Raw genomic sequence first — 21536 nt, forward strand, 5'->3', positions numbered from 1 at the left:
GGTACATCTCACCTGAGGAGTTTATACTTGTCTTATTAGCACCACCATCTACCGGATATCCAAGCCAGAAACTCGATGTCATCTTGATTCTTCTCCCCACCCCATATCCAATCAACCATCAACTCCCACCATAGCTCCAAGGCTCCCCGGCTCCCCCGCGGGCCCTTCCAGTTACTTCTGTCCCTGTAATACAGCCTGCTCTATTCCCCGCCTCATTTCACACCTCCAAGCCTTTGCGTACGTCCGTGTCTTGGATCTGGAGTGTCCTTTCCTCCTCCTTCATGTGGTTGACTTGTCATCATTGAAGATTCAGCTCCAACTTTTTCCTCCCTTAGGAAGTCCCTCCTTGATTGTCCCTATCAAAATATCCTCTGCATATGCCATCCATGCATGCAACACCTGTTTTAACAATGACCCATGAATATGTCTGCCTCCCCAGACTATGGGCAATTTGAGGGCTTGACCCACTTGACTCTATTTGATTTTCTTCATATAACTTATTGCTATCTGCAAGTTTGTTTTTAATTCTTTTTTTTTTTGAAACAGAGTCTTGCTCTGTCACCCAGGTTTAAGTGCTGTGGCATGATCATGGCTCACTGCAGCCTCGCACTCCAGTGCTTAAGTGATCCTCCCACCTCAGCCTCCCTAGTAGCTGGGACCACAGGCATGCACCACCATGCCCAGCTACTTTTAAAAAGAATTTTGTAGGCTGGGCTCAGTGGCTTGTGCCTGTAATCCCAGCACTTTGGGAGGCCGAGGCAGGTGGATCACTTGAGGTCAGGAGTTCGAGACCAGCCTGGCCAACATGGTGAAACCCGTCTCTACTAAAAATACAAAAATTAGCCGGGTGTGGTGGTGGGAGCCTGTAATCCCAGCTACTCGGGAGGCTGAGGCAAGAGAATTGCTTGAACGTAGGAGGCTGAGGTTGCAATGAGCTGAGATCGTGCCACTGCACTCCAGCCTGGGCGACAGAGCAAGGCTCTGTCTGAAAAAAAAAAAAAAGTTTTTTTTTTTTTTTTTTTGTAGAGACGGAGTCTCCCTATGTTACCCAGACTGGTCTTGAATTCCTGGGCTCAAGCAATCCTCCTGCCTCCCAAAGTGCTGGGATTACAGGACTGTGCATCTGCGCCTGGGCTGTTTTTAATTCTTTATGAACGTATTTATTGTCAGAGCCTCCCATGACCGATGTCAAGGACTCCCAGAATTGGAATAGACGGAATTGGCAAATCAAAACGTCAACCAGCCAGCGGCACAGATCCTTTCTAGCCCCCACCCCAGTCCCATCTATGATTTTTCTCAGAGAAGCCTTGTCCCTTATGCTAGGGCACTCGGTGGTCATCTATACTAAGGGTCATGGGGCTATTGGGGTGACTAATGATGGTAACTGCCACATTTGGAGGACACATTTGGTACTGTGTACCAGGTCCTATGCAGAACACTTTGGGTACATGTCCTCTCTGTAATCATTTCAGCAACGGCACAAAGTAGGGATTACTATTCTTCATTTACAGTTGATGCAACTGAGCCTCAGAGAGTGTCAACAACTCACCGCAGGTCACCCAGCAAGTAGGTCAGCCTCTTCTGTTAGGTAGATGGGCTGGGCTGCAGGCGTGCGCCTAAGGCTCGTGGGAACATGGTGGTTGCAGCCATTCTGGTCTACCCACAGAGGGTGCTGCTGCCTCACAGAACTACCCAGGGCTCCCTACTGGACCTTGCCAACCTGCCCTTAGAAAGGCCTTATCTAAACTCTCTTCCCTCATCCCATGCAAACCCCACCATATAATTAGACTTCTCAAAATATTCTCTTCGAGTGGGATGGGGACAATCATAGGCTACAGGCTTCTCCAATTTCAAGAGCAGCCTCTATGGAACTCCCGGAGCAAAAAAGTCATGAGCCACCCCCACTCCAGATGGGGCTGCGTTTCACACAGCTGAAGTCAGCTCAGCTGCTGGGACTTAGCAAGTGGTCCAAGGCCTTCTGGGGACTGTCATGCTGCTGGCCCTATAGCAGCACACACACACATACATTTGGAGCTCACCCACCCTGCTAACTTCTGCCTCATTCCCAGATGCCTGCCGTCACCAGCATACTCTCAAATGAGCAGTTAGTTTGTTCCTCTGGATGTGTGTGGGTGAGCACTTTGCAAACACCGTATAATGCCATGATCAAACGCCCTTTCCAGCCGAATCTGGCTTTTGAGCACTGTTTTCTGTCAGAGACACAGCCATGCAAATGAAATGCAAATACGAATAGTGGGTAAATATTCATGCGTAGCGGCGAGATGCCAGCCGACTGGAAACAAAAGTCAGAGAGCTGCAGAACGTTAAAGGCAATTTGACCTCTTAGGGAGGCTGGTAGGTAGAATGGTTAAGTGTGCAGGCCTTTAGGGGTCTGAAACCCTGTTATATCAGCCATTTGCTCTGTGATCTTGAGCAAGTTCCTTAACCTCTTTGTGCATTCATTTCCTATTGTGTAAGACGGTGAAAAAGAAACAGTCGCCTTGCAGGGAGGAGAATTAAATGAGTTAGTGTCTATAGGGAGCCATCAATCTTAAATTGGTAGTGGAGAGCCCAGCTGGGGAAAGGAAAGAGGTAAAAGATAACTGTGCCTTATTAGGGGAAATAGATTATGCTTATCAGAATGGGAAGACTTCAGCATACATACAATGTCAAGGATTTCAGGCAGCTCTAAAAAATTATTTTAGAATACTGTACATATGTAATTAAATTCTCACTATGTAAAAATTTCAAGCAATATAGATAAAGCTTAAATCCCCTCAGTCACACTTCCTTTCCCAGGGGTGATTGCTATTGTCAGTTTCATGGGATTGCTTCCAGATTTTTTTCTTTGTATGTATTTACATATGTATGTTTCTACAGAAATCCATGGCTTTGCTTGCTGTTATTTTTCTATTTTATTTTATTTTATTTTTAGATGGAGTCTTGCTCTGTCTCCAGGCTGGAGTGCAGTGGTGCAATCTCGGCTCACTGCAACCTCCGCCTCCTGGTTCAAGCGATTCCCCTGCCTCAGCCTCCTGAGTAGCTGGAATTACAGGTGTGTGCCACCACACCCGGCTAATTTTTGTATTTTTAGTAGAGACGGGGTTTCACCATGTTGGCCAGGCTGTTCTCGAACTGCTGACCTTGTGATCTGCCGACCTTGTGATCTGCCTGCCTCAGCCTCCCAAAATGCTGGGATTAGAGGTGTGAGACACTGTACCCGGCCATTTTTATTTTTAGAAAATACAAACGATAACATACATGTTCTGCAAGCTGCCATTTTTTCGTCAAGTGCTGTGTCTTGGAGGTCTTTCCATGTTAGTATGCATAGATCCGTCTCATCATATATGCTGCAGAATATTTAAAAGCAGGGCTGTACCATGGTTTGCTTATCCCTCAGGAAATTTCTTAAAAATGTTTTCCCTATGAGTTTAATATCAGTGAAGAAATATGTTACTGTCAGCTTCCTAAAATACAGGATTGATCATGTGACCGCAGTGACCTCAAACCTTCAGACGGTTTCCAGGGCACCAACCCTAGTGTTTCCAGCATTACTGCAATCTATATTTTAGCTACTCACTATAATCACAATTTCCCAGACATATTACACACCTGGACCTCTTTGTGTCTCTACTCAGCTTGGCAACCCCTCCTCCCCTCTTTGCCTAATCATTCATTTCTACATTCACTCAGCAGTCATTCATCTTAGGACAAATGAACACCAGGCCATCCTTGGTCATTCTCCCAGCAGGAAAGGTGTGTGTGTGTGTACACAGATTTTTGTACCTTATTCATTCCTCCATTCAGCAAGTATTTATCAGGTGCCTATTCCATCAGTGTGCCTCTCTGCTCTCCTGTCTGTCTCCCTGACTCAGCTGTCAGCTCCTTGAGGGATTAGATCATGTCTCATGCACAGGGCTTTCCAGGGAGAACAAACACCCTGGTTTGCCGAGCATAGTTCCGGATTCTTCTGTTGCCCTGATGGAATTATTTGCAGGGCTCCTCTGAGATCTCAGAAGTGCCCTGGTTTAGATGAAAAATTGTGGGATCACTGGTTTTACACACAGTAGACACTTGGCAAATGTTAATGGAGAAAAGTGAATGGATGGATGAATGAATATAATTTGCTTTTCACGATTTAGACATGCCATCTTACTCCGAGCTGAGGAATAGAGAGAGCACATACTGAGCTACGTAGAGGTCATTTCATTATGGGCCTTATTGCCTTAGAGGGGTTTGTAGGAATCCTATAATCTCCAGACATCTTGCTTGCAGGTAGAGGGGATATCTTGTTGATAAGATTCTTCTAATAGGACACCTGACATGCTAAAAACTGGTGCAAAGATAAGGTAACATTTGTGAATGAAAGAATGCTAAACTTGGGTTAGAAAGCTGTTTCTTTTTTCTTTTCTTTTTTTTTCTTTTGAGACAGTGTCTTGTTCTGTTGCCCAGGCTGCAGTGCAGTGGCATGACCTTGGCTCACTGCAACCTCTGCCTCCTGGGTTCAAGTGATTCTCCTGCTTTAGCCTCTCTATTAGCTGGGATTATAGATGTGTGCCACCGCGCCTGGCTAATTTTTGTATTTTTAGTAGAGACGGGGTTTTGTCATGTTGGCCAGGCTGGTCTTGAACTCCTGACCTCAAGTGATCTGTCCACCTTGGCCTCCCAAAGTGCTGGGATTATAGGCATGAGCCATGGCGCCCGGCTAGAAAGCTGTTTCTGAGATGTAGTCAAGAGCAGGCGCTCAGTGGGTGGGCTCCGGAGCCAGACCACCCAGGTATGAATCCCAGCTCTGCCATTTCCTGCTGAGTAATCTTGAGCAAGTCACTTCCTGTCTCTGAGCTTCAGTTTCCTCATCTGTAAGGTGGGGATAACAACCTCACAGCTTAGTTTTGAGAATTAGATGAGATGACGAATGCAAAGCATTAGGTTGAACCAACAAAAATCGCCTCTATTTGACCATTTTGACCTTCCAAATGGGATTCCATATAGTTCCACCTGGTAGGAATGCAATCAATGTTTAAGAAATGTTTGGGCTGACTTTTCTGCTTCCATTGCCTAGCTGAACAGATGTTTCCTTCTTTTATTCAAAACACATTTGCTGAGCATCAACTATGTGCCAGGAATTGCCATCAGTAGGAAAACAAAATATTCCCTTTTTTTTTTGTTTTTTGGGATGGAGTCTCGCTCTGTCCCCCAGGCTGGAGTGCAGTGGTGCAATCTCGGCTCACTACAACCTCTGCCTCCAGAGCTCAAGCGATTCTCCTGCCTCAGCCTACTGAGTAGCTGGGATTACAGGTGCTCGCCATCACACCTGGCTAATTTTTGTATTTTAGTAGAGACTGGGTTTCACCATATTGGCCAGGCTGGTCTCGAACTCCTGACCTTAGGTGATCTGCCCGCCTTGGCCTCCCAAAGTGCTGGGATTACAGGCATGAGTCACTGTAGCTGGCCGGAAAACATTCCTTTTAAAGATTGAACGTATCTCTTCAGCTCTTCAGTAACACAGTAGCCTGCGCATGGGGCCTTAGCATGCTGGTCAGAGACTGTTAGTCATCTTTGGGTATAACCAGGGCTGTCAGAAAGCAGACCTTTGCTTGTGGAAGGTGAGGGATTGAGGCCAAGCTGGCGTGGCCTGAACCCAGCAGTTTGCTTAGAGACTACCCAGAGAAGACCTTTGCTTTTTCAAAGATCAGGGCTGAAAAAGAGCCCAGCTGGCCAGGGGGATGGGGTGAAGGTCTTTCACATCAGCCAGGCTTGAGACAAGGCTGCAGAGCTGGGCTTTCTGTCTGGGAGCATTCTTTTTCTGCATGTCCAGCTGGAGAAGGGATCCTACATGCTGCCATTTGATGTCACTCCTATATTTAGTTGCTAATAACTTTTCCATCAGCCCCTTGGACCTGATACCACTTGCTTGAGGATCCTACATGAATCTCACTGGAGAGGCAGATTCATTCCTGGCTGCTTTTTGTTTCGGAGGAGAGACCTCCCCCCAACCACTTCCGTGGGGTTTTGGCTATGCCAAGGTGTGGCTCTGATCCCATCTGGAATGCCGGAGGAATCTGAGATAACGAGCTGCTCTCACCTGGGACTCCAAGTACACATTTTAGATTAAATGTAGAACCAGGCTGTATCCACAGGAAGAGTGAGGGGAAAAAGAGGACCTGGTGGGGGTTCCCATCTTGACAGTGGGCAGAGGGGACCTGGCCAAAGGCAATCACCTTGCAGAGAGAGAGGGGGGTCCTGGTAACTTGGCAGCAGCCATGGTTCAGACAAGAAGACTTTCTGGAAGGGCAAGGGTCTGCATACCAAGGCCAGTGATGGCTCGTATCTATTTTACATTTCTCTTTTCAATATAATAATAATAAACTTTTATTAACCATTGCAGTCAAACTAGTGGACTCTGGGGGTTTAAGGAATGTGCCTATTTCCACAATTGGCGCTCAGCCTGGCAGACAAGTTTCTAGAACAATACCTTCCAATATGATAGCCACTTGTAGCTATTGAGCACTTAAAATGTGGCTAGTCTGAATAGATGTGTGATATAAGTATAGAATACACATTAGATTTCAAAGACTTACTACCAAAAAATGAGAATGTAAAATATCTCATTGAAATTTTACACTTTAGATTACATGTTGAAATGATAATTATTTGGATAGATTGGGCTAAAGAAAATATATTATTAAAATTAATTTCACCTGCATTTTACTTTTTAAATGTGGCTACTAGGGAATTCAAAATCACATTATGTAGTTTGCATTATATTTCTATTGGAAAGTGCTGTTCAAAAGTCTCAAGGTAACACTCAGCGACCCTGAGGTGGGTGATTGGCCAAGATGTGAAAACATCACCAGGATGAACTTGTTGAACATCCCAGCATCCCTTGGGGAATTGCAGAACTAGATGGGTCAGGAAATCTATGAAAGATTGGCCTTGCAGTGGCTTGGACCACATTAGTTGGGTATAAAAGAGGATTTCGGTAGGGTGCTGGCTCACGCCTATAATCCCAGCATTTTGGGAGGCCGAGGTGGGTGGATCACAAGGTCAGGAGATCGAGACCATCCTGGCCAACATGATGAAACCCCGTTTCTACTAAAAATACAAAAATTAGCTGGGCATGGTGGTGCTTGCCTATAATCCCAGCTACTCTGGAGGCTGAGGCAGGAGAATCACTTGAACCAGGGAGCCGGAGGTGGCAGTGAGCCAAGATCATGCTACTGCACTCTCCAGTCTGGTGACAGAGCAAGACTCCGTCTCAAAAAAACAACAAAACAAAACCAAAAAAAGGGGATTTCAGAGGCCTGGGCCCCTGGGTTAAGCCTGGGAGTGAGTGAACCAGTGATTCTCATTTTGCAGTGGCCCCTTTAAAATAGTGGCACCAAGACATTGGTCCAGAAGCTCAAGATGGGACTAAGGAGTGAGAAGGGCCCCAGGTGTCTCCCAAAGAACTTGGAAGCAGCTTCTAGACTCAGCAACCAATCAGGTGACTCCATTTTAGGGCCTCAGGAGTTTGTTCACAAAGACCCTGTTAGATCATGGTTATGTTGTATGGATTTTCATACCATGGGTCAAATCACAAATACTTGTGTGTAGTAGCTGTTGATTAAAAGGACACGACATCACCCAGAGCAATGGACAAGGCTGATTCCCTGCCGTGGTTGCGGTTCCCTCTTCTGGTTGCGGCAGAACTTGTCACAAGCTTGTGACTTTGTTCCTAATCCCAGCTGTGATCTTTAGATGGTTGCCTATGAGCTCCTGGTGCCCCCTCGCCCATTCAGAGGGCCAGAGTCCCCAGAGCCAATGACTGGTGCAGGCGGACAAAGACTCAGCCTCCAGACAGGACAGCTCAGAGGTGCCATTTATGCTCCAGAGCTCTCCAGGGATCGGTCTGAGGCTTCACCTCACACTCTTGTATGGTTTCTTCCCTTTCCTTGGCCTGCTCCCCCAGTTACCATCTTGGTTTCCCCGGAGGCTCCTTTTTTTTTTTTTTTTTTGAGACAGGGTCTTGCTCTATCATGTGGGTTGGAATGTAGTGCAGTGGGACGATCGTGGCTCCCTGCAGACTCCATGTCCTAGGCTCAGTTGATCCTCTTGCCTCAGCCTCCCCCCAAGTAGCTGGGACTACAGGCATGTGCCACCATGCCCAGCTAATTTTTTAAATTTTTTATAGAGATGGGGGTCTCACTATGTTGCCTAAGCTGGTATGGAACTCTTGGGCTCAAGGGATCCTCCTGCCTTGGCCTCCCAAAGTGCTGAGGTTACAGGCATGAGCCACTGCGCCGGCCACTTCTCAATAAATCACTTGTTCCTGAATGCTCATCTCAGGCTCTGCTCCTGGGGAACCCCATCAGAACAACATAGTCAGACTTTATTGCGGGTACTGGTCTTGACCTTCGGTGGTGGCCATGTAATATGCAGTTGCTGAGTGTGTTGGGGATTCCGAACCCTCAAGATACCTATGCTGAGAGCCCAGACCCTGTGCCCAGAACAGCAAGGGCTGCAGGACCAGGAGGGCCCAGTGTGTGGCTTGCCTCACTCCAGGCCGTGTCTATGAAGCAGCAAAGAACATCACACCAACAGCCATATGACTTCCCCTTGGACCATTTATTTCATTGTTCTTTAGTCGAGCTCTTCCCTAAACATCTTTAGATCTCCACCACAGGCTCTTTTCCAGAAATTTGAAACTGTGTTCTTCTTGCCATCTTCACGACATCCCCTGCCCTCTTACATAAGATATTTCAACATCAAGGTGGAAGCAGGAACTTAGCTGAGTTTTGCAACAGAGAAGCGTATTCTAGGCCTACATTTATAGAAAGTGGGGGTGGGGAAGAGCCATGAGTCCACGGGGGTATATCCACACCGAGGGTTGTCACACTGGGTGGGCAAGTGAGATGGGAACGGGTGTGTGAGTCCTGGGAACTTCAGAAACATCAGAAATTACCGACATCATTGGGGAAAGCCTTAGAAAAATCTATAAAGACACACTGTCTGCACATGGGAGGCGCTCACTTCCCCCTAATGTAGACTAAAAAAAAAAAGAAAAAAAAGAAAGAAAACCCATAAACCCACATTAACCAAACACACACACACACATGACAAACTCTAAGTCTCCAGACAGACACCCTCAAATAGGCACTTGGTGTTTTCAGCTCTGGGGCTGGAGAGATCTGGGGCTTTGGCCTCCAAAGGCAGGAGCTGCTGTCCCCAGAGAGGAGACAACAGCTTCTGGAGGCTCTGGGGACTCATTGGATGGGTACTGGCTAGGTAGATGGGAAGGGGGCCTGTTTAAAGAAGACCCCCCACCCCCACTGCCCATTTCACCACAACAGTGACTTGCTGGAAGTTTTGTGCCCTGCGGATTTCTGAATATAGTGGACTGGCATTTCTAAAGAGCGCATCACTGAAGGGGCAGAGGCTGGCCTTTAAATGTGGGCTTTGCATGTTGGGGAGTGATGGGTTCCATGCCAGTAGGGACCAGGTCCAGACTGCTACTAACCACTGTGTTTGCAGAGCCCAACGCCGTGCCTGGCGCTTAGTGGCATACAACAAATGTTTGTTGAATGGTTGAAGGAAATAATCCCAAATGAAAATCTTGTTCCTCCAAGAATATAAATTACATTATAACCTTTTCATTGGTTATAAATCGGTTCTTCAAAATGGGATTATAATTCATTTATTCTTCTGGCCCTAAAGGAACTTTTAACGATTGAAACTGAGTCTTTTCAGTTGGAGCCAGGGAATGAATCTGGGTATGTCCAAATGAGAGGGTCTTTGGCAAAGGCACTGGTGAATTTCAATGGGATAATCAAACCACCCCTAAGTTGGCAGCTGACCCAGAACTGGCTGTTGGGCTGGAGGGTAGGCCAGGGTCCTTATGTGTTGGATCTGATGTCCGGAGAGGAGGGGCTGGTCACTTATTATGCCCCTGGGAAGGCCTGAATCTGGCTGCTGGCGAACAAGTTCTTGTCTAGCTGCCTGGACAGATGGCACCAGGAATAAAAAGGAAGAAAGTCAAGGCAGTGGAAGGAGGAAGGTCAGGGAGCGGCCAGAGAATCAAGGACCAGGCAAGAGAAGATGGATATGGCTGACCAGGGGCATCTTTACGCATTGAACTCTCAGGTCACAAGTATGCTGGTCTGGGGAGAAATCCCCATGCATGCGGGGGAGCCTGCATCCCTGAGACAGATGAGGCAAAAGGAGCATCCCACACGTGGGGAAACCTGCTCAGATGAAATGTTTCCAGGAAGGTTCTAAGCTAACTTACTGGACCCTCAGGGAGTGGGGAGGACTAGCCAACAGTGTCCACACTGCAGAGAGAAAGCCAAGAGGATTTGAGAGGTTGGTAAGGAATGAATAATTGGGGGTGGCCACCTGGAAACCCTGAGGGAGATGTATTTGAAATGACGATGGCAGTTCAAGATACGTCTAGGGTCCCGGGGTCCTGGGGTCCCTTTCCATGGATTCTACCTTGATTTTCAGAGCATGGCTGCTGGAAGAACTGGCAATCCCAGAATCTCCTTCCCTTCTCCCCTCATTCAGTGTCAGATTAGAGACTCAAAATTCTTTGGGGAGCAGTTTGGGCACATGGTTTGCTGTGTTTTGTTGTGTTCTGTTCCTTATGTCAGGGCTACAGAGACACTGGCCCAGCTATTTTCAGCAGGGACAGAGTCGAGGCTCACTGGGGATGGCTTCAGAGGACACTGAGGCCCCTCTCAGGGAGGGCAAGGCACAGATACCCCAAATTCCACCCCACGTCCCAAAGGTCTCCCAGCGGGGCTGTCCAGTCCATGTCAGCAGAAGGCTCTGGGCGTGTGAGGGAGGGTCTGGAGAACTAAGCGAAGGAGGCAAACGCCAGGGCCCCTGGCAGGTCAGGGCACCATGTGCCACCACTTGAAGGTGAAGGGCTTCCTGCGGACGTTGGTGCCACAGTGGACTTCCCCCAGAAATTTGTGGTAGGCAGAAATGTCGTCGATGAAGGTGCATTCGAGGCCCAGGGGCTCCAGGAGGCCACGCACGTGCATCTCCAGGCAGCATTCCTCCTCAACCTGTGGCCCGAATGGCTTGGGGATGCCCAGGTCCTTGTCCAGCACGATCATGTTCACCTGTGACGGGGGATTGCGATGGCAACAGCTTCCATTTAGTGAGCACCTAGTACACACATGCCTATCCTAAGCTCATGGAACCCTCACGGCAACCCTGTGAAGTAGTAACTGTGATTGGATAGGGACGGAGTGGGGCTAAGTCACTCACAAATGGCAGAGCTGAAGTGGAAAACCAGGCAATCTGCCTCTGTATGTATGTGTGTGCAAAAGCATTCACATATGTCTGTACATGTATGTATATGTGGCTATATATGCATGCATCAGTGTGTACATGTACATGTGTATGAATGTGCACACACGTATGGGTATGTATGCATTTATGTGTGCATGTGTATTTCTGTGTGTGCATGTGTGTATATATGTTCATGCGTGCATGTGTGTTTCTGTGTGCATGTGTGTGTATATATGTGTCCATGCATGCACATGTGTTTATGTGTGCTCATGTGTGTATATATGTGTCCATGTGTGCATATGTATTGTTCTAACCTCTTTTTATGTTATAGAAGACTCCCCTCTATGTAACAGAAATCCCTCCTGTACATAAAGGACTTCTAATCTTTTGCACAGCACTTTCCTATCTGTTAAGGAAAAGGGTTCCCAGTATCCCAGTGAAGCAGCTAGGATGAGCATATCACTCCTAGGAGGAAATGGAGGCCCAGAGAGGGCAAGTGCCTGAGGTGAGGTCACACAGCAGCTCAGCCAGGATTGGGACCTGGGCCTCCCCATTGGACAGCTTCAGCTGAGGGGTCCTTCTGGATCTGGCTGCCCTGTACTGGCATGGGGCGAGGGTTGGGGTCTGCAGGGCCTCACCATGTTTGGGAAGAAGGCTCTGGCACGGTGGTCCTCGTCCATCTTGAACAGAGCGGGCAGGTCAATGATGTCCTGCTCTGTCAGTCCCAGCTCCTTCTTGAGGATGTCACGGTTCCAGTCTAGGCAGCGCTGGGTAGGAGAAAGGATGGAGGGCATGCAGGTGAGGGGGACACACACCGGCCACCTTGTCAACCCCATCCCTGTCTGCAGCACCAGGCCAGGGGCCCCGGCACTCCAGAGAGACTTCTAGCAGTCAGCGGGCGCCTCTGCAGCCTCTCCCTGGCCCTGTCCACCGGGGTTCATGAACAGCAGTCGTAATAGGACAGAGGAAGGTCACAGATGCCAGAACAGCAGCTGCCATTTCCTGAGCACTCACTAGAGCCGGTCCCTGTGCTAAGTGCTTCCCACACAGCACCTCAGTGACCCCTCGGGCCACCCCATGAGCTGAGGATAACACTGATGATTTTGGTAATAACAAAAGCTAATGCGTACATGTGCTTAGTACTGTTCTAAGCGCATTACATAGATTGCCTATTTAAGCTCCAGCCCTGTAATATAGATGCTATTATTATTCCCTTTTAATTTTTTTTTTAAGACTGAGTCTCACTCTGTTGCCCACGCCGGAGTGCAGTGGCACGATCTCGGTTCACTGCAACCTCCACTTCCTGGGTTCAAGTGATTCTTCTGCCTCAGCCTCCCAAGTAGCTGGGATTATAGGCGCCTGCCACCACGCCAGGCTAATTTTTGTATTTTTGGTAGAGATGGGGTTTCAACATGTTGGGCATGTTGGCCTTGAACTCCTGACCTCAGGTGATCTGCCCACCTCAGTCTCCCAAAGAGTTGGGATTACAGGCATGAGCCACCAGGCCCGGCCAAAGTTTTTATTTATTTTTTTTGTAGAGACAAGTGTCTCACTATGTTGCCCAGGCTGGTCTCAAGCCCCTGGCCTGAAGCAATCCTCCCGCCTTGGCTTCCCAAAGTTCTGAGATTACAGGCATGAGACACTGTGTCTGGCCCCCATTATCCCCTTTTTAGAGATGAGAGACCCAAAGACAGCCTTAGTGAGTTGCCCATGGTCCTACCTCCCCAAGTGAGGGGGCGGCACAATTTGGCACTTCTTTAACCCTGGGACTTTAGCCCAGGAGCAAAGCAAGGAGGCTGGCTGGATGCTGGTGGAGGCTCTTCCCTGTGCTGCTGTGCTCGGGGTCAGGAGCTCCTGAGCCCTTGGCCATTCTCTACGGAAGCCCCAAGGATGTAAGGGCCTGAGCCTCATCCCTCCCAGGGGCCCTCTGGCCCTGCACCCCTGCCCTGCCCTCACCTGGAAGTACAGGTTCTCCTGCACAAGGCTCTCGTTGGACAGAATCTTGTTGATGGTGATTCGCTTGCTGCTCATCCCACCCAAGCCTGTGGGGTTCAAAGGACAGGGGATGGTCAAGCTTTAGATACCCAGGCTGAGTGTTCCCCTTTTGCCAAGATCCTCCAGGCCTGGGCTAACTGCTGGACTGGGACTGGGGAGATGGGACTGGGGAGAGGCTGGATCACAGGAGGGCACTCCCAGGCAAAATCAGGCCCCCCTCTGTCTGGGGAGGGCAGCACACACTCTTTTCTCCAGAGTTGACCATGACATCTGAGCCAGGACAGTGGTGGCAGCTGCCTTGCTCTTGCTTTGGCCAGTGGGATCAGGGGTGCTACAAGTAGCCCCCTGGTTCTCCCACCTACAGCCTACTCCTAAGGATGAGCAGCTGACCAGCATGAATGTGGCAGAAGCAGCATGGCCAAAGGGGACACCCTTCCTGTTTTCCAGAGCTGCCTCATCTTGGCTGCTGCTCTGGAGTGGCCTGCGTTTTCCTCCTGTACCACACGATGGCTTATGTGGCTTCCAGCTTGATTAGTAATGCCTAATGCTCAATGAGCACCTACTATGTGGCCGACGCTCTTCTAAACGCTTTACATTGAATTAACTCATGGATCCTCCCCACATTTCTATGGGGTAGTCACTACCCTGAAAAATGAGGAAACTGAGGCACAGAGAAGTTATGTGACTTGTCTCAGGACTTACATCTAGCAAGCGGCAGAGTTGGTGTGCAGATCAGGCAGTCTGATTCCAGAGCCTATGCTCTTAACCTATTATTTGTTTATTTATTTTGGCCTCATCTGGGAAGAGACTGCTGGTCCATTGCACTTCCCAGGTTTATAACTGGACAGCAGTAAAGATGCCCAGCTACAAGCCGGATGTAATCTTTGAGGCTTAGGGACTCAGAAGGGAGGGTCCAGGTAGAAACAGAAAACTTTAGGGATCTGTGATTTTCTAAAACTGATCCAAGTTCAGGAGATAGATTGATATAAGCATTTTTCTGGAGGGCAAGTCTGTAGTTTTTATCATCTTTTAAAGGGATGTGTTTTCCCCAAACATTGTGGGCTCTGGTCCAGCGGAGATCTTGGCTCTTTGGCATTGCCTGGTTCACCTTCCTCCCCAGGTCTCCTATGTGCTTCTACTCTCTGCTGACTGCACATCCGCGCATCCTCTCTCTGTCTGTCCCAATTACATGAATGTCTAAGTCCAGGAGATAATGTTTCACTCCTGAACTGACAATGACGATGCCTGACCATGCCTTCTGTCCATCAAAGTCCAGTTTTCTTCCTGTCCCCAAACTGTATTCTATCTATTTTCTCTCTATCTCTCTTTCTAAAATACAAAGAGAAATCTGGGGCACTGCTTGCCCCTATTTGTACAAAAATAATGGTCCCTATATCCTATGGGTAGTTTTTGAGGGTATGTTTAATATTAGAGAGGAAGCCTCCAGGAAGTCAGGACTCAAGCTTGCCAATCCAAGAACAAACTTCCCATCAGTGGGGAATTTAAAAAGGGTGGTGGTGTTAAATTGGTCTTGTCTGTCCTAGACACCAGTGACAGTCAGGAACACTGTCTTTGGATCTGAGGGGCAGTCATGTAAGTATCAACCAGCTGCGGGAACTCAGGCTTTCAGGCATGAGATATATTATGGATACCAACCTGAAAAGTGACAAAAGTAATTTAAGAAAAAAATAGGCCGAGCATGGTGGCTCACGCCTGTAATCCCAGCACTTTGGGAGGCCGAGGCGGGTGGTTCATGAGGTCAGGAGATTGAGACCATCCCGGCTAACATGGTGAAACCCCACCTCTACTAAAAATACAAAAAATTAGCCGGGCGTGGTGGCGGGCGCCTGTAATCCCAGCTACTGGGGAGGCTGAGGCAGGAGAATGGCTTGAACCTGGGAGGCGGAGCTTGCAGTGAGCCGAGATGGCACCACTGCACTCCAGCCTGGACGACAGAGTGAGACTGTGTCTCAAAAAAAAAAAAAAAAAGTATAACGGATATAGAGAGTGCTGATGGTTAGTCAGCATTGTAGATGTATTTAATGTCCCGGAACTGTGTCCTTACAAGTGGTTAAAATAACAAATGTGTTAGATTAGGTATATTTTATCACAATAAAAAACATGTTGGACATAAGGATGGCAATGGCAAACACTGGGGACTATTAGAGTGGGGAGGGAGAGAGGAGGGAAAGAGTTGAATGACTAACTGTTGTCTACTATGCTCAGTACCTGCGTGATGGGATCATTCATACCCCAAATCACACAATACACCCAGGTAACAAACCTGCACATGTACCCCCTAAATCTAAAATAGAAGTTGAAAAAGAAAAAAAAGAAGTATGAGGAATTGGCATGGTGTCTCTAACCTGGCTGGTTGTCTCCACCTGATCATCTTTCCCTCTTTCCGTGATTAATTCAAATGCAAACCTCATCCCGACTATGTCTGTCCCAATTATGTGAATGTCTAAACGTAGAAGATAATGTCTCACTTCTGGACTGACAACCACGATGTCTGACCATGCCTTTTGCCCACTAAAGTCCACTTTTCTTCCTGTCCCTAAATTGTATTGCATCTATTTTCTATCTCTCTTTCTAAAATACAAGCTCCTTGAATGCAGATTGCACATCAGTTTCCTTTTCTTTTTCAAAATTTTTATTATAGAGAGGCTGGGTGTGGTGGCTCATGCCTGTAATCCCAGCACTTTGGGAGGCTGAGGCGGGTGGATCACCTGAGGACAGGAGTTCAAGACCAGCCTGACCAACATGGTGAAGCCCAGTTTCTACTAAATAAAAAAAAATTAGCTGGGCATAGTGGTGCCTGCCTGTAATCCCAGCTACTTGGGAGGCTGAGGCAGGAGAATCGCTTGAACCTGGGAGGCGGAGGTTGTAGTGAGCCAAGATTTCACCATTGCACTCCAGCCTGGGCAATAAGAGCGAAACTCTGTCTCAAAAAAAAAAAAAAAAAGTATTATAAAAATGGGGCTCTCACTATGTTGCCCAGATTGGTCTCGAACTCCTGGACTCAAGTGATCCTCTTTCTTCAGCCTCCAAAGGTGTTGGAATTGTAGGCATGAGCCACCAGACCCAGCTGCATGTCAGTTTTCAACCATTTAACCCTCCACTGGGTCTGGTGCCATTTAAAGTATACGCTAGGGCTTGAAGATGCGCTATGCACTGCTGGTGACACTAAGGAGCTGTGGGCAGCTCACAGTCCACCCAGCCACAGCAAGGGTCACAGGAGGCCAGAGGTGCTTCCCAGCATGGCGACCTCACAAACCCCCGATCGGGCCAGACACCCAGGGAAGTGGAGCTGGGTGCTCAGGGACAAAGTGCTTATCTGCCCCACCCTCCCGAGGGTCTCTCTGGGGCCTCCAGCTCGCCACTTCCTGTCAAGGCCCTGTGGCCACTCACCTTTGAACATGATGGCCTCTCCATGGCCGTCCTTCTGCTTCTCTCGGAAGAGCTTGTAGCAGGCCGAGGTGCTGGCCATGAGTAGCAGGAATTTCTGCAAGAGACAGTCCAGAGGGACAGAGTCAGCAGTGGGAAGGCACCCAAGGAGCACGGGGAGGCCCTGCGCTGAGGACCCAGTGCCTTGCCTGCTCATTGCCTCAGGCCTCCCATGCCGAGTGGCAAAGGCTGACGGGGAGGGTGTTCTCTGCTTCAGAGGAATATTTCTCACCTTTCCTCTACCTCAGCAATGTCACCAGATCAAGGCTCAGAGTCAAAGGTGGACTTGGACAGGACATCTCCAAGTTGCCAAGCAGCCACACAATTTGCAGAGAATTTCCAGGGTATGAAGTTGTACCCATAAGAAAATGAAAGAACCTCTTTCCAGTGCCACAGGTGCATAACCTATTTCTCTCTAGAGCATTACCACCAACACAATAGCCACTAGCCTTATGTGACTATTGAACACTTGAGCTGTGGCTAGTCTGAATTTAGGTGTGTCATGTGAGTAAAATCTTTGCCAGATTTTGAAGATTTAGTATGAGAAAAGAATTTAAATCTCTCGTTAATAATTTTTAGGCTGATTATGTGTTGCAATGCTAACATTTTGGATTTATGGGGTTAAAATTTTACCTGCCACAGCAACAACATGCAAACCAGCTTCAGCCTACTTCCTCCTTCCTTTATGCTGTCGAGTTCCTCTAGCTCTTGCCCTCTGCTGGCAGGGGCGGGTAATATATTGGTTTGCTGCTACCCCATTCACTCCAGCCTCGGGAGGCTAGCTTACCTTTGTGCCGGGGATGGGGACAAAGGACATGAACTCATCCACGTGGCCCACAGTCAGCCAGTCTGAGTAGAGCTCCACGGGCGCCTGCACCTGCTGGGCCTTCAGGAAGTCACGCACCACCTTGGTCATCCTCCGACCACCAGACCTGGAGAAGGGAGGAAGAGGAGTTTCAGCAAATTACCCACCGCACCAGAGGGCCTGCAAGAGGAGTTTGGTCTCTGGGACCCACCTCGGACCCAGAGTGACATCAGCAGAGAAGTCCCAGGAAGGAGACTAGGTTGGGTTAAGAGACCCTGGCGCAGGCAGTAAGGCGTTTGAGTCCCAGGGGAAAGAGTAGGTGTGAGTTGCAGCTGCGGCCTGTGTGAAGGGCAGGGAGCCCAGGCTTCAGCCCTTGAGGGTGCCAGTGAGTGTGCAGAGGCTACCTTTTGTGTGCGGGAGTCCCACCTGGCCTGCTGGACGGGGCTAGGGCACAGGAGGGCTCCAAAATCTGCCCTCATCCATGTGCCTCTTTGCTACATTAACTTCTACTTACTTTAATCTTTTTTTTTTCCCCCGAGATGGAGTCTTGCTATGTTGCCCAGGCTGGAGTAGAGTGGCATGATCTTGGTTCACTGCAACCTCTGCCTCCCGGGTTCAAGCAATTCTCCTGCCTCAGCATCCTGAGTAGCTGGGACTACAGGCGTGTGCCACCACGCCCGGCTAATTTTTGCATTTTTAGTAGAGACAGGGTTTCACCATGTTGGCCAAGCTGGTCTTGAACTCCTGACCTCATGATCCGCCCTCCTTGGCCTCCCAAACTGCTGGGATTACAGGTGTGAGCCACTGTGCCTGGACTTACTTTAATCTTTAATCAGTTCAAGAGAAACCTCCTCCAGGAAGCCCTTCCTCATTTCTTTTTTTGTGTGTGTTTGTTTTTTGTATTTTGAGACAGAGTCTAACTCTGTCACCAGTGCAGTGGCATGATCTCAGCTCACTGCAATATCTCCCTCCCTGGTTCAAGCGATCCTCCTTCCTCAGCCTCCCAAGTAGCTGGGACTACAGGTGCCCACCACCCCGCCCAGCTAATTTTTTTGCATTTTTAGTAGAGATGGGGTTTTACCATGTCGGCCAGGATGGTCTCGATCTCTTGACTTCGTGATCTGCCCACCTCAGCTTTCCAAAGTGCTGGGATTACAGGTGTGAGCCACCGCTCCCGGCCAGCCCTTCCTCATTTCTAGACCCCCCAAGGTCTGCAATCTCTCCATTATCCTCCGAAGATAACCCTAGCTCCTTAGGGTGGCCAACAAATTCCTTTCTGATCTGGCTCCTGGCCAGCCCTCCTCCCTCGCTTCCCTCCCTTCCCCCGGTTCTGTCTGCTCCAGCCACCTGCTACACTTGCTATCCCTTGGGGCTTTTCCCTTTGCTGTTCCTTCTGTATGGAATGCGCTTCCTTTACAATCTCCTGATGGCTGCCTACTTCTTAACATCCAAGCCTCAACTCTAGTCACATCTTCAAAAAAACAACAGCTAAGGCACCCCTGTCCCCAGGAATGTTTTATCATGTCACCCTGTTTTATCTTCTCCATTGCATGTATCAGCATTCAGAATTATCTAATTGATTTACTTGATTCCATGTTTATTTTCTGTACTGCCCTTACCCAACTATAAACTCCCGGAGAGCTGGGACTTCATCTGTTCTGGTCACCGCTGTATCCCCAGAGCCTAGAATAGTGCCTGGCACAGAGTAGTTTCTCAATAAATATTTGTCTTTAAGGGCCGCCCCTGAGCTCCTCGAGGGGGTTCAGGGCCACTCCCTGGGCTGACCTGACTCCCTGTTATTCTTTCTATCGTTGCAAGTCCCTCCATTTCATCAGGGTCTATTTGCATGCCTGAGACCTCTGCTATCTCCTTGAAGGCAGGGGCTGGGCTTCCTGTTTGGGACCCTGTGCCTGACACAGGGCCTGGCACTTGGCTGGTGCTCAGGAAATGGTTGCTGAGTGAATGAGTGGCCACTGAGTGGAGGGAGAAGGAGGCAAAAGTGGGCAAACAGTCGCTGGCTGTGCCAGTGGCCTCCCCGCAGAAGGCTGAGCATCCCATGTGGCTCGGAGGAAACTGGCGGCCAAATCCTGGCTGACCCCATCTGTGCAGGCTCCTGGCAGCCCTTTTGTGACGTGAGAACCTAAGGTATTCACTCTTTCCCCAGCGACTGCCCTGACAAGGAAGAATCTGTCTTTTCACTGGCTGGTGGGTCAACTGGGCAGGGAGTGAGGAGAATCATGGACAGGCCAGGGAGCCAGGGACTCACATTTCTGGGGCAGGACCACGTCTGCTCATACCTCTTTTAAGTATGGTAGCCCTGAGGATTCATTGGTACGCTCCCACTCATACCTGTCAGTTTTCCTTCTCTGGACTCCTCCATCCCTTCCCCAGCTGATTTATTTAATATTTTATTTTATTTTATTTTGTTTTTTGAGACGCAGTTTCACTCTTGTTGCCCAGGCTGGAGTGCAATGGCGCGATCTCGGCTCACTGCAACCTCTGCCTCCTGAGTTCAAGCGATTCTTCTGCCTCAGCCTCTTGAGTAGCTGGGATTACAGGCATGTGCCACCACGCCCGGCTAATTTTGTATTTTTAGTAGAGACGAGATTTTTCCATGTTGGTCAGGCAGGTCTCAAACTCCCGACCTCAGGTGATCCACCCGCCTCGGCCTCCCAAAGTACTGGGATTACAGGCGTGAGCCACCGCACCAGGCCTGATTTTTTTTGCCAGAGTCTCTCTCTCACCCAGGCTGGAGTGCAGGGCATGATCTCAGCTCACTGCAACCTCTGGCTCCCAGGTTCAAGCAATTCTCATGCCTCAGCCTCCCAAGAAGCTGGGATTACCACCATGCCTGCTAATACTTGTATTTTTAGTAAAGACAAAGTTTTGCCATGTTGTCCAGGCTGGTCTCGAACTTCTGGTCTCAAGCAATCTGCTTGCCTCGGCCTCCCAAAGTGCTGGGACTATAGGCATGGGCCACTGTGCCCAGCCTATTTATTTATCTATTTATTTATTTTTGAGATGAGGTCTCACTCTGTTGCCAGGCTGGAGTGCAGTGGTGTGATCTCAGCTCACTGCAACCTCCACCTCCCAGGCTCAAGCGATCCTCTCATCTCAGCTTCCTGAGTAGCTGGGACTACAGATGCATGCCACCATGCCTGGCTAATTTTTGTATTTTTTGTAGAGAAAGGGTTTTGCCATGTTGCCCAAGCTGGTCTCAAACCCCTGGACTCAAGCGATCTGCCCACCTTGGCCTCCCAAAGTGTTGGGATTACAGGTGAGAGCCACCGTGCCCCACCAACCAGCTGATTTATAATCTCATTATACACCTTTCCACTTGGGGAAAAGAGTTGTTTATTTAGTTATATATTAGATCCTAAATCACACAAAGATATAAAGGCTAGCTTGATTTTCTTTCCAAGAGTGTCGGCCTCTTAACAGGAAGTCGTGGGAGGGAATAATTCCCCCAGCCACTTGCTCCATGTGTGAGCAACCCAGGCCACCCCAAAAGAGAAACAGTGACTTCCCCACTCCCACAGCCCCTAGCCCCAGCCTGGCTTCTCTTACAGAGGAAAGCTGCTCCCGATGAGGATGCGGCCAAGCGGGTATGTCTTGCCGTTCACGGTCACTGGGGGACTGACCTCCAGGTTTCCAAATGAGTCAAGGCTGGTGACAGACTCAAAGAGGGGCTCCCGGGTCACGTAGCCAAAATCTGGGCCCTAGGCAGAGGGCACACACCTGCGTTAGTCTTCTGCAGCCAGGGTCCTCAGCCCCCAAGCCAGCCACCCTCTTTTATCACCTTCAGTCTGGGTCTGTGGGCACCCAGTTTCCAGGTGGGTTGTCCACGGTCTTCCTATGATTAACAAAGAGCAGGGGCCTGGGCATGGGGAGGCTGAGTGTGTGAGCATCTCGGTGTAGTGTGAGAGTGCGAGTGAGAGTGAGTGTGAGAGTGAGTGTGAGAGTGAGTGTGAGTGTGAATGTGAGTGTGTGGGCATCTGCATTCCTGTGTATG

The 21536-nt window shown here is 49.0% G+C and overlaps 1 protein-coding gene across 3 annotated transcripts in view; it reads right to left on the reverse strand.

Moving 5' to 3' along the window:
- PADI2 (peptidyl arginine deiminase 2) overlaps nucleotides 8589-21536 on the reverse strand; it is a 52691-nt gene continuing 39743 nt past the window's right edge. For 2 of the 3 annotated variants that reach the window (NM_007365.3, XM_017000148.3), the window contains 6 exons: nucleotides 21092-21243; nucleotides 17507-17651; nucleotides 16684-16777; nucleotides 13234-13319; nucleotides 11916-12044; nucleotides 8589-11105 (listed from right to left, as the gene is read on the reverse strand). In NM_007365.3, the coding sequence (NP_031391.2) occupies nucleotides 10872-11105; nucleotides 11916-12044; nucleotides 13234-13319; nucleotides 16684-16777; nucleotides 17507-17651; nucleotides 21092-21243 (840 nt within the window). In that variant the 3' untranslated portion in view covers nucleotides 8589-10871. Of the gene's footprint in view, nucleotides 11106-11915; nucleotides 12045-13233; nucleotides 13320-16683; nucleotides 16778-17506; nucleotides 17652-21091; nucleotides 21244-21536 lie in introns of those variants that run through there. The other variant, XM_047442975.1, reaches the window with a different exon arrangement.

The sequence above is a fragment of the Homo sapiens genome, chromosome 1 (genome assembly GCF_000001405.40).
Source record: "Homo sapiens chromosome 1, GRCh38.p14 Primary Assembly".
Taxonomy (NCBI): domain Eukaryota; kingdom Metazoa; phylum Chordata; class Mammalia; order Primates; family Hominidae; genus Homo; species Homo sapiens.